Genomic DNA, 12,363 nt, shown 5'->3' on the forward strand with positions numbered 1-12,363 from the left:
AAGTATAATAAAAAAAAAGTACCTGGCACAATTAATATTTGTTGAATAATTGAATGAATTAATTTTTTAAAAAAAAGCATAGAATGGGCTGGGTGCAGTGGCTCATGCCTGTAATCCTAGAACCTTGGGAGGCTGAGATGGGCAGATCACTTGAGGCCAGGTTTCGAGACCAGCCTGGACAACATGGCAAAACCCCATCTCCACTAAAAATACAAAAATTGCAGCGTGATGGCACCTGTGGTGCACCTGTAATCCCAGCTACTTCGAAGGCTGAAGCACAAGGATCGCTTGAACTGGGGTGAGGTCGAGGTGGCAGTGACTTGTGATCGTGTCACCGCACTCTAGCCTGGGCAACAGAGCAAGATTCTGTCTTTAAAAAAAATAAAAAGCATAGAATGTTCAAGTCCTATCTGGAAACAACAGCCTTACAGGGACTGCTACTGCAGCTCCAAATTATTGTATCAGACCAATCCTATCTAGGAACTACCTTTATTATATATATTGGATATACCCCCCCACACACGCATACATATATATATATGGGGGTGTATATATAATATGTGTAATGTGTATTATATGTATAATGGGAGATTAGAAAGTGTGTGTGTGCATGTATATATACCCCCTACCAACACACACACACACACACACACACACACACACACACACACACATTAAAATCTCCCATTAGTTCTGCCTTTTCGTTGAAGGCTGATGATACAGATTTCAACATTGAGATCGGGTTCCCACCACACCAGGGGCTAAGGAAGAGTATGTGTGATATGTCTAGAGAGCTTCTTAGTCCTCCCGTGTTTTTCGATTAGAGTTAATGGAAAATCACAGCAACCCCATCCAGGCAGGATATCTAATGGTTCAGACTCTTCTGTAATGAAGGTTTGAGTCATCCTGCCAGGCCAAGCATCATGACCAACTGACATGCTATCTCAGGGCAAAGGGAATGCGAAACGGGTAGCGAAAGAAGGTAGTTATAAACGCCAGCTACATCAGTGTGAGCTGCTGCAGAAACCACGACTGTAATAGTATTTACCTAATGGGTTAATAATATCTACCAGCACAGGTGGGAATACAAAATAACCAAAACACAAGTTATCCTTTCAAATAAAACGCTTTGGGAAAAAGAACATCTTTTACTAACAGAAATTTCTTAGCCTCTGGAAGGCCAGTTGATTCGGTAACATATGCCAGGAGACTTCAGCAATATCCTGCTCCATTGTAGAAAACAGCAATCTGATCCTTTTCTCTCCTCAATCATTAATGAGATTATGCATTTGGGGTGTGATAATCCTCCAGGGACAAGTATTCTCAAATCATACGTTTCAGTTTCTTCTTAAGGTGCTTAACAAAGTCTCGTCTCATACATCTGAAGAGAAAGAGACATGTCATTAACCAAAAGATAGCCAAAGAACCTATGCTGTAGGAAGCGCTGTGACAGATAGAAAGATGAAGTAACAGTCAGCATGGAAATAGAAATGTATCTGCATGGTAAGAGGCAGTCTAGCCGGCATAGCAAATGCTGGCAAGGGTGTGGAGAAAAGGGAACCCTCATACACTGTTGGTGGGAACATAAATTACTACAACAACTATGAAGAACAGTTTGGAGGTTCCTCAAACAACTAAAAATGGAGCTATCATATGATCCAGCAATCCCACTGCTGGGTATATACCCAAGAGAAAGGAAGTCAGTGTACCGAAGAGATATCTGCACTCCCATGTTTCCTGCACCACCATTCACAGTAGCCAAGATTTGGAAGCAACCTAAGTGTCCACTAACACGTGAATGGGTAAAGAAAATATGGTACATATACACCACAGAGTACTGTTTAGCCATAAAAAAAAGAATGAGATTCAGTCATTTGCAACAACACGGATAGAACCGAAGGTCCTTATGTTAAGTGAAATAAGCCAGGCACAGAAAGACAAACTTCACATGTTCTCACTTATTTTTGGGAGTAAAAGTGTAAAACAACTGAACTAATGGAGATAGAGAGTAGAATGACAGTTACCAGAGGCTACAAAGGTTAGTGGGGGTGGAGGGTGTGGGAAGTGGGGATGATTAATACGTAGAAGTATGGAATAAATAAGATGTCGTATTTCATAGCCCAACAGGGTGACTATAGTCGGTAATAATTTAATTGCACATTTAAAAATAATGAAGAGTATAATTGTATTCTCCCCGTAACGCAAAGGATAAAAGCTTGAGGTGATAGAAACCCCACTTACCTTGATGTGATTATTACACATTGTTGTCTGTATCACAATATCTCATATAGCCCAGAAATATATGCATCTGCTATGTGCCTACACAAATTTTTTAAAAAGAGGTAGTCTAGCAAATACAAAGAGTGTCAATTGAGGGACAATGCGCACCTCAGACTATGGTGAAAATGGAAGTCTCCATAGTCTTCGAAGAATGAGTTAGACTCAGATAACATTAGCCTAAGTAACTGTGGAGACAGCCGTAACTGTGAGTGAGGACCAGGGTTTGAGAAACGCAAGGCAGGGGCTGTTCCCCAACGCTCACCCCCAGTGCTCTATTGAGCCCAAGTGCTTAAAGAAATTGGACAGTTCCTATTTCTACCCACCTTGCTGCTTCCTTGATGATGGATTCAAAAAATCGTTTCCTGACTGCAGTAGGTCCTTGCACTCCTTCAAGCATTTCGAAGATTTTTTCATATTCTGAAGATGTTGAAAAAAAAAAACTTCAGTATTATCAAATATAAAGAAGAATAGAAGTGAATCTACACCTCAGCAATCATGCTTCAGAGGCTGAAATGTTTTAAATGCTTAAATCAAGATACCTGCACATACAAAACCTAAATAATAAAAAAGACACCTGCACATACATACGAATGTAACTCCTTTAACCATAACCAAGTAAGAAAAGAAAAAGAAAAAATGTACATGCTTTAGTCAAAGAAAAGAGGAACCACCATAAATTATGTGCAATCTCAACTCTGGCAAAGAATGAAACTCAACAGGCAACATGAATATCTTCTGAATCATAGAAAGAGAGACTTCCTATAGTTTTATAAAACAGACATTCTTATACTACTTACTTTGTCCAACGCATCGGAGTTCCTTCACTAATTGACGTTTTATATCAGCATTAATTTCTTGTTGGCTTTTGGGAGAGAAGGCTGTTTCTCTGCATTCTAGGTCATCTCCAGAGAAACTGCTGGTAACGTTTCCTCCCACAGGTGCATTGCTACCAGGTTTCTGCATCATCCTATCTTTGCTGAAACCAGTGAAGTCATCAATCTGAGAATCCAATTGGCTGGGTGGAATAGCATGTCCTGTCATAAGCTCTGGTGAAACAGATTTTGAGTAAAAGCCATCAGTTGGTGTTTGACCACTTTCTTTCCCCTCCACATAGACCTCATGAATGACAGCTCTGGAAATCAAACTGAGAAGTTGAGCTGTGAGATATGTGTGTTTCATCACCCCTCTGGGTACATCTATGTGCTCCTCAGTTTCTAGGGAATTATTTATTTAATAAATGGGAGGATACACCAGGGAGAAATCCCAGGCCTGACAAACGGAGGCCAGGACACATAATACAATAAAACCACCTCTTATTTTCTGGCCCTATGAATAGACATGGAAACCAAGTAAGGCAGTACAACTCTAAAGCAACATTCACAGATCCCTGGTACTCATGGGACAGTTTCAGCTTGTTATGCTTTACAAGTTGAAAGCAGCAAGTCTCACTTGATATCATGATTTCTCAAATTCACTTACAAACTGCCATGTTTTACTAAGCTGGAAGCCAGACAACTTGGACACACCTCAACCAGCCTCCTCTCTACATCAAACATATTCTGAGAAAATAGAGGTGGCCATTACTGCTGAAAGTTCTATATGTACTCCATCAACAAAAAATCCCTTTTAGTGTATGATTTTCCTCATCCTTCCTTTCTGTCTCACAAAAGTGACTTTCTTTTCACTCCAGGTCTGACACCTCTCATTTATTCATCGTCTGTGGCAGGCAGTGTGCCGGTAGCTGGGGATCAGCAGTAAACAGCCCAGAGAGCAACGTTCCCTGCCCTTGTGGAGCTCACATCCTCATGGGGCGGTCAGACAGTACGTGCACAATGAGCAAATGAAACATACAGTGTTGGGCTAGTGGTAAGGAAGCAGTCCACAGGCCTGTGGGCAACAGCAGCAGAGGGAGCCCCAGGAGCTGCTGCTGGTTGGGCAGAGCCTTCTGTGGAGGTACCCTTGGGCAGGGCTTGAAGGAAAAAGCAGAGCTGCCTGCGCAGAGGCAGAGGGGGAGTTCCAGGTTGCGGTGAGGCCAAGGATATGGGCTGGAGTGGGGATGGACCGGGCACTACGGGGTGAAGGACAGTAGCAGAGAGAGTCAGGAGATGATGGGGCCCGTGTGAGGAGAGGGTGACGGAGGCCAGGCCACGCAGAACCTCGCAGACCAAAGCTGCTTCGCAGTCGGTTCTGAGTGCTTAGGAGTGTTGAGGATGGGTGTTCAGGAGCGACATGGCATCACGTGATTTACATGCCAACATCATGACCCGGCTGCAGGGTTGGAGGGTATGTGTTTGATGCGGGAAATAATGGGAAACATGGAGGTATCTCAGGAGCTCAGTGATTGATCGTGGCAGAGTGGAATAGAAGGAGAGAGAGAGATGCTGGGGTTCAGGAATTTTTTACAGTATTTAGAGAAGAGAAGAAAAAGAAATGTAGAAAAAAACAATGATGGGGTCGGGGGCGGTGGCTCGTGCGTGTAATCCCAGCACTTTGGGAGGCTGAGGTGGGTGGATCACCTGAGGGGGGGAGTTCCAGACCAGCCTGGCCGACATGGCGAAACCCCATCTCTACTAAACTTACAAAAATTAGCTGGGTGTGGTGGCTGGTGCTTGTAATCCCGCTACTCGGGAGGCTGCGGCAGAAGAATCACTTGAACCCAGGAGACGGAGATTTCAGTGAGCCGAGATCGCGCCACTGCACTCCAGCCTGGCTGAGAAGAGCGAAACTCCATCTCAAGAAAAAAATGATAGGGATTCACCAATACGGACAAGAAATTAAAAAAAAAAAAAAGATTGTCGGAAATGGAAATCCTAGAAGGTTTTCATGAAGAAGCGAGTAAACAACTGTCAAATGCTGCTGAGAAGTTAATGGCAATGTCAGCCGAAACTGTTAACCTTGACAAGGACAGTTTCTCTGGAGGGGATGAGGCAGGAGCATGAGGAGGACGTGAGGACAGGCTTACTTACTCTTTTCTTTGGACATGGCAGAGCCTGCAATAAGGCTGTCTCCTGCTCCTTGTTTCCTTGCCAACAGGGCCATCCTCTGCCTTTTCTGATACGAAGGACTGTCACATTCCCTGGGACGTTTAAACACAGTTTCAGGATCTACAGCCACCTTCTCTGTTTTATCGGTCATTGTTTCCTGAAAAACATCAATGAATATATTCTATTCATGACAAAAATCTAACAATCACAAAATGGCAAGCAATCTGCATATGTGTATACAACCAAGACTTTGAATCATTAATTTCACTTTTAATCATGAGCCAAGATTTACCAAGTCTCAACAAACACTCTGTTCTCAGGAAAAGAAACCTAATTTTAATGTACACAAAGTAAAACAGAAGAAAGATGGTATAACCAAATCAATCAGAATGCTTGTGGAATAAGCAGCTGTCATCAACCAAAAATAGATAAAAATATTATTACCTATTTGAAGATGTATAAGCCAATCTGTATTAACCCTTATTAGAAAAAATGGATGTATAAACCAATCTGTATTAACCCTTATTATACATTATATTTTAAATTATATATTATATATCATATATATTTAATATATAAGTATTTATGCTTATATATTCAAATAGATGCATAAACCAACGTGTATTAACCCTTATTAGGAACCCTTATTAGAAGATTGATACAAAACTGATAACAACATCTGACAAGGAATTTAGAAGAATGAAAAACTACAAGATCAAGCCAAAAATACAAGCCAAGATCACCCCGAACTTAGACACAAAAATTCCAAACTAAGGGTGAGCAAATAAAATGTACTAGTACTTAAAAAGGACATACATCAGCCATGGTGGAGTATATTGCAGAAAGGCAACACTGATTTAACATTTGAAAATCGACAAATGTAGTGCACCACATTAACAACAACAACAACAACAACAACAAAAACAGGGAAACACCGCATGATCATTTTCATACATGGATCAATGTTTAAAGTCCATTCGTGATAAAAACTATCACCAACTTAGGAAAAAGGGCAACTTTCCTATTCTGGTTAGCATATGTACAAAAAATTTTTAAATGCCATACTTCATAGTGACGTATCAGTATTTTCTCCCTGAGTTTGAAAACAAGACAAAGATGTCCACTATCCATTCAACAATTTACTGGAGGTTCCAAAAAGTGCCATATCATCAGGAAAATACAATAGGTTTAAAATTTGGAAAGAAATAAAACTGTCATTATTCACAGATGACATTGTTCTGTACATAGAAAAATGCAGAAGAATAAAATCATTACAGTTAATAAGCAAATTTAGTCAACTTACTAGATACAATGAAAACCAATGGCATTTCTGTATAATGAATAGCAATTCTGTATAATGAATGGCATTATACAGAATGGCAATTCTGTATAACGAATAATTAGAATATGAGATTTCAAATGTCATTAAAAACAGTTCCAAAAACATCAAATATTTAGGAATAAATCTAATCAAGATGTGCTAGAGTACTTCACAAAAATTATAAAACATCACTCAGAGAAATTCAAGACTGCAGTAAATGGAGAAAAATTTTCTTTCCATGCATTGGAAGACATTTTTTTTTTTTTTTGAGTCGGAGCCTCGCTCTGTCACCCAGGCTGCAGTGGAGTGGCACAGTCTCTGCTCACTGCAACCTCCACTTCCCAGGTTCAAGCAATTCTCCTGCCTCAGCCTCCTGAGTAGCTGCGATTACGGGCGCCTGCCACGACGCTGGATAAAGAAAATGTGGTACATATACACCACGGAATACTATGCAGCCATAAAAAAGAATGAGTTCATGTCCTTTGAAGGGACATGTGTCAGCAAGCTAACACAGGAACAGAAAACCAAACACCACGTGTCCTCACTCATAAGTGGGAGTTGAACAATGAGAACACATGGACGCGGGGAGAAGAACATCACACAGTGGGGCCTGTCAGGGGTTGGGGGGCTAGGGGAGGGATAGCATTAGAGAAATACCTAAGGTAGATGACGGGTCAATGGGTGCAGCAAACAACCATGGCATGTGTCTTCCTATGTAACAAACCTGCACGTTCTGCCCATGTATCCCGGAACTTAAAGTATAATTTTAAGAAAAGGAATATTATCGTAATGGCATTGGGTGAGTCAAAGATGTTTCTTAAAATAATAAAAAGCACTATCCATAAATAATACACTAATTAATAAAATTAAGAGAATCTGTTCATCTACAACACATTATTGAGATCGTGTAAAAGCAAAAAAGATTTATAGAAGATACTAAAATTGTATATGTATTTTTGTATATGTACATATACGCCTGTGTGCCTGTGCGTATAACTCAAATACAGAATATATGGAAACTACAAATCCATTTTTAAAATACAAACATCTCAGTAAAAGCTGGGGGAAAATACCTGAAAAGGAACTTCATAAAAGGCATAGTTAAATGACCAATAAACACATAAAATGGTGCTAAAAAAAAAAAAAAAAAGAAAACAATAAATAGCTGGGTGTGGTGGCACTGCAATCCAGTCTGGGTGACAGAGGGAGACCTCATCTCAAAAGACAAACAAAAATCAATAAATAAAAACAATTTCTTAAAAAGGTGCTCGATCTCATTAATCAGCAGAGAAATGCGAGTGTAGACACAAGGAGAGATCACTGCACACCCATCAGAGTGGCTGGAATGAAAGACTAACTGTACTGCGAGTGTTCGAATGTGGCACAGCTGGAACCTTCGAATATTTCTGGACTCCCATTCCCACACAGACACCTGAGGCTGTGGCTGAAAGGTCAGATAGAATCCCAGGAAAGAGCTCCTTCAGAATTGCGATCAACCAACCGAGGAAAAGCACCCCAACCTGGGTCGAGACAGAGTTCCCAAGGTCACGTGGCCTCCTTCATGGCTGACACAGAGCTCCCTGAGTCCCACCATAGGCTTAGAGAATCCAAGGAACATTACCCCACTCCCCGGCGGCACCGGGAGAGAGCACCTACAGATAATAATTTTAAAAACCCAGCACCAAGAGAAAGCATCCAGTAAGCGTCCACAACGGGGATAAGCAGAACCAAAGAAAAGCCAACACATTGTAACTGAGAGCGAGCAACATCCGAGGACAAATGCGCCTCACGGCCGACATCAGTACCCAAGGAAGAGTCCACCAGAGGTTGAGATAAAGCCCCCGACAGTGACCCCACAGGGCTACGATCATGTGTCCGGGGCACAGCCACCCCCACCACGTTCCATGAGCACAGATAGTGACCCCAGGGCAGAGTCCCCCCTCAGGACAGCGACTGAGCGGGAAAGAAACACCGCCGCACCCGAGGCCGACACAGGCAACCAAGGCATGGCCCCCACCCCCCGGGCTCAGGTCATTTCAGCAGGAAAAGTCGCCTTTTCCATCACCGACAGGGAGCCCCCAACAAGAGCCCCCAAGAAAAGCCCCCTGGCCCCACAACATAGCCGAGACGGGGTGCCCAAGGAAAACGCTCCCCCGCGGCTGACACAGGCGCCCATGGCGGTGTCCCCAGAGCTAAGCCACTTCCCCAAGGGAGCCCTCCCACACACCGGACAGAGAACACCACAGAAAAGACTCTTTCTGAGGAAAAAGGACACTTTCCAGGGCGAAATTAAAGCATCCAGGGAAAAACTGCCCACTCACAGTCCTGAAGTCCTGACCTTGCTGGAGGAGAGACGGCGGCACCTCACAAAATGGCAGTGAAGTTGTGGCGCCTCCCCACTGGTGGCACTTTCTAGAAACCTGCCCTCTGGGAGTTGTGGGAAATGTGCCCCCTAGGGCACCTGGGAGTGATGTGCATGGGGAGGCGTCTCACCAGAAGCACCGATCCCGTTTGGCCCAAGGGGGATGGGAGGAAGGGAAGTAGCCAGCCACAGCGTGCCTGCCCCAGCCGAACACTGGGAACCTGTTGGGGGCGCCAGAGTGCTGAGGAGAAGCCTCGTGCCCCAGAGAACCAGGAAGCGCAGCCCTCCCCTTCGCTGACTCTGGCGCCCTCTACAGGCGACCTTCAGTAACAACTGCACAGCAACGTATGCGGAGGAATGCAGAACCTTCTCACCCAGCGGGATGAAATCGCCTGGGTAACATAGTGAGACCCCGGCTCTACAAAGCAACCAACTAATCAAAAAAGAAAGAAAGAAAGAAAGAAACACACAAATTAGCTGGGCCTAGTGGCCTCGCACCTGTGGTCCCAACTACTCGGGAAGTTGAGGTGGGAGGATGGCTTGAACCCGGGAGGTGGAGGTAGCAGTGAGCCACTGCACTCCAGCCCAGGCGGTAGAGGAGACCCCATCTCAGAAAAAAAAAAAAAAAGAAAGAAAGAAGGAAAAGAAAAGAAAAAGAAAAAGAACAACAACAAACTGCAATTTTCATTTGAGGGGGTTGTGTTTTAAAGTCAACCCCGACCCGCCACAGTGGCTCACGCCTGTAATCTCAACACTTTGGGAGGCCGAAGGGGCTGGACCACCTGAGGTCAGGAGTTCGAGACCAGTCTGTCTGACCAACATGGTGAATCCCGTCTCTGCTAAAAATACAGAAAATTACCGGGCGTGGTGGCATGCACCTATAATCCCACCAGCTACTTGGGAGGCTGAGGCTGGAGAATCGCTTGAACCGGGCAGGCAGAATTTGCAGTGAGCTGAGATCATGCCACTGCACTCCAGCCTGGGTAACAGAGTGAGACTCTGTCTAAAAATAAAAATCAATCAATCAATAAATAAAGTCAACCTCTATCTGTTAAAGGTAACCATTATTGTTAATTGATAAGAAAAATGAGGGCCCCAGTGCGGTCGCTCACGTCTGTAATCCCAGCAATTTGGGAGACCAAGAGGGGTGGATTCCTTGAGCCCAGGAGTTCAAGAGCAGCCTGGGCAGCATGGTGAAACCCCATCTTAACACAAAATACAAAAATTAGCTGAGCGTGTAACTGTGGTCCCAGCTGCTCGGGAGGCTTGACACCAGGAGGTTGAGGCTGCATTGACCTTTGTTCGCACCATTGCACTATAGCCTGGGTGACAGAGTAAGACTGTCTACAAAAAAAAAGAAAGAGAGAAAGAAAGAGAGAAAGAAAGAAAGAAAGAGAAAGAAAAAAGAAGGAAGGAAGGAAAGAAAGAACGAAAGAAAGAAAGGAAGGAAGAAAGGAAGGATGGAAGAAAGAAGGGAAGAAAGGAAGAAAGGAAGGATGGAAGAAAGAAGGGAAGAAAGGAAGAAAGAAAGAGAGAAAGAAAGAAAGGATGGAAGGAGGGGAAACCTTATTATATTGCATCTATTAATCATTTTAATCTGGAACTTTGTATATTTTTCCACCTTTTTTATTTTTTTTGAGACAGTCTGGCTCTGTCACCCAGGCTGGAGTGCAGTGGCATGATCTTGGCTCACTGCAACCTCCGCCTCCCAGGTTCAAGCAGTTCTCCTTCCTCAGCCTCCCGAGAAGCTGGGATTACAGGCATGTACCACCATGCCCGGCTGGTATTTGTATTTTTAGCAGAGACGGTGTTTCACAATGTTCTCCAGGCTGGTCTCAAACTCCTGACTTTAAGTGATTCATCTGCCTTGGCCTCCCAAAGTCCTGGGATTACAGGGGAGAGCCACCATGCCCGGCCCATTTTTCTACTTTCACAACTTATTTTAAGTGCAGCAAAATTTACTTGAATTGTCCATAGTGGTAAAAAATATTACAGCGAAATTTTTCGAGTTTTAATGGAACAGGCAGTTTCACTATTGACACAATTATTTGGAAGGGATTACTTCACTGGTTTTGTAATTCAAAAGTTATGTTTGTAAAAAACTTAAAATTAAAATTAAAAAATATAGCCAGGCATGGTGGTGGGCACCTGTACTCCCTGCTACTAGGGCAGCAGAGGCAGGAGAATCACTTGAACCTGAGAGGTGCAAGCTTCAGTGAGCAGAGATCGCGTCACTGCACTCCAAAGGGGCAGAGATCCATTGTCACTGGGGGACAAAGGGAGAGTCCGTCTCAAAATAAATTAATTAATTAAAATTAAAATTAAAAATTATGTTTGTTAAGTACCCTGTTAGAAGAGAGTCATATTCAGTATTACAGCTTCTTAGCCTATTGTGTTAATATTTGCCTGTGCTTCAGAACCTTCATAGAACACATTTTCTTTTGGAATATATTTGATTGATAGGAAAGCTTAAACATTGTTTTCACTTTGATGTAGGAACAGTTGTTTTGTTTGTTTCCTCTAGTGCTATCAAAATAAAATACTCATTTTTTGCATTAAAAAAATCCCACCAGAGCAGTACTCATAGGAGTATTTGATTGAATAACCATGAGACTGGAATCTTGTTGGGGCTTAATTAGAATCCTGCCTACCACACAAGCCACAGGTGGACAGCTGCATACGACAGTCCTGACTGGGACAGCCCTGAAGGACAGTGATGAAGGGAAATCCTCCCAGAGGGAAGAACTTTGAGCAGTGCACCTTCTTGGAGGAGGCATATCCAGACGTGTAAGTATGTATCATGCATAGGCTGTGTCCCACTCATTCGCTGAATTGTCAGGGACTTTGAGAACACACGATTAAAAATGTGCGACAAAGAAGTCTGAGAAAAAAAAAAATATGTGGACAGGCCTGTCCAAACGGACATACAATGTGAAGATATTGGGGTCTCATGAGAGTTCTCAGCAAAGGGTATCCTCAGCAGAGCAGAATTTTAATAATCAGATGGATAAGGTACTTATTATCTAGGTATTAATCAGCCTCTTTCCCTAACACGTGTGTCACAATCTTACCGGCTCAACAAACAAAGTGGTCAAACTGGCAGGGTTGGAGATTATGCGCAGTAGCATGGACCTCCACTCACCATGGCAAACCTGGCTACGGTCATTGCTGAGTGAAAAATCTTCCAGGAATGGAGACCAACACTAAGCCCCCAATTTGGCACCAGACTCCAGAATGATCTGCCAGCCACTAGTTGGTATGTGGATTACAATAGATCACTTCTATTATAAAAAGAGAAGTGCTTTCTTCTTACCTGAACAGACATTTAGTCTAGATATGGATTTTCCTTCCCACTTGCAGTGCTTTTGAGAAAACCAATGTTTGTATCTCGGCTTCCAAAATTCTGGAAAGCGCTA

The 12,363-nt window shown here is 43.1% G+C and overlaps 1 protein-coding gene across 3 annotated transcripts; it reads right to left on the reverse strand.

The window, feature by feature from the left end:
• CT45A2 (cancer/testis antigen family 45 member A2) lies at nt 818-9,216 on the reverse strand. 3 transcript variants are annotated; one of them, XM_011531389.3, is made up of 5 exons: nt 9,079-9,216; nt 5,247-5,421; nt 3,078-3,326; nt 2,604-2,697; nt 818-1,381 (listed from the first exon to the last, which is right to left on the reverse strand). In XM_011531389.3, exons 2-5 carry the CDS (start codon nt 5,413-5,415, stop codon nt 1,324-1,326), a joined length of 570 nt encoding a protein of 189 aa, XP_011529691.1. In that variant the 5' UTR covers nt 5,416-5,421; nt 9,079-9,216; the 3' UTR covers nt 818-1,323. The 3 variants fall into 3 exon arrangements, with proteins under 3 accessions (XP_011529691.1, NP_689795.4, XP_006724846.1); NM_152582.7 differs by having other exon boundaries at nt 8,924-9,162; XM_006724783.3 differs by lacking the exon at nt 9,079-9,216 and adding an exon at nt 8,907-8,994.

The sequence above is a fragment of the Homo sapiens genome, chromosome X, assembly GCF_000001405.40.
Source record: "Homo sapiens chromosome X, GRCh38.p14 Primary Assembly".
Taxonomy (NCBI): Eukaryota; Metazoa; Chordata; class Mammalia; order Primates; family Hominidae; genus Homo; species Homo sapiens.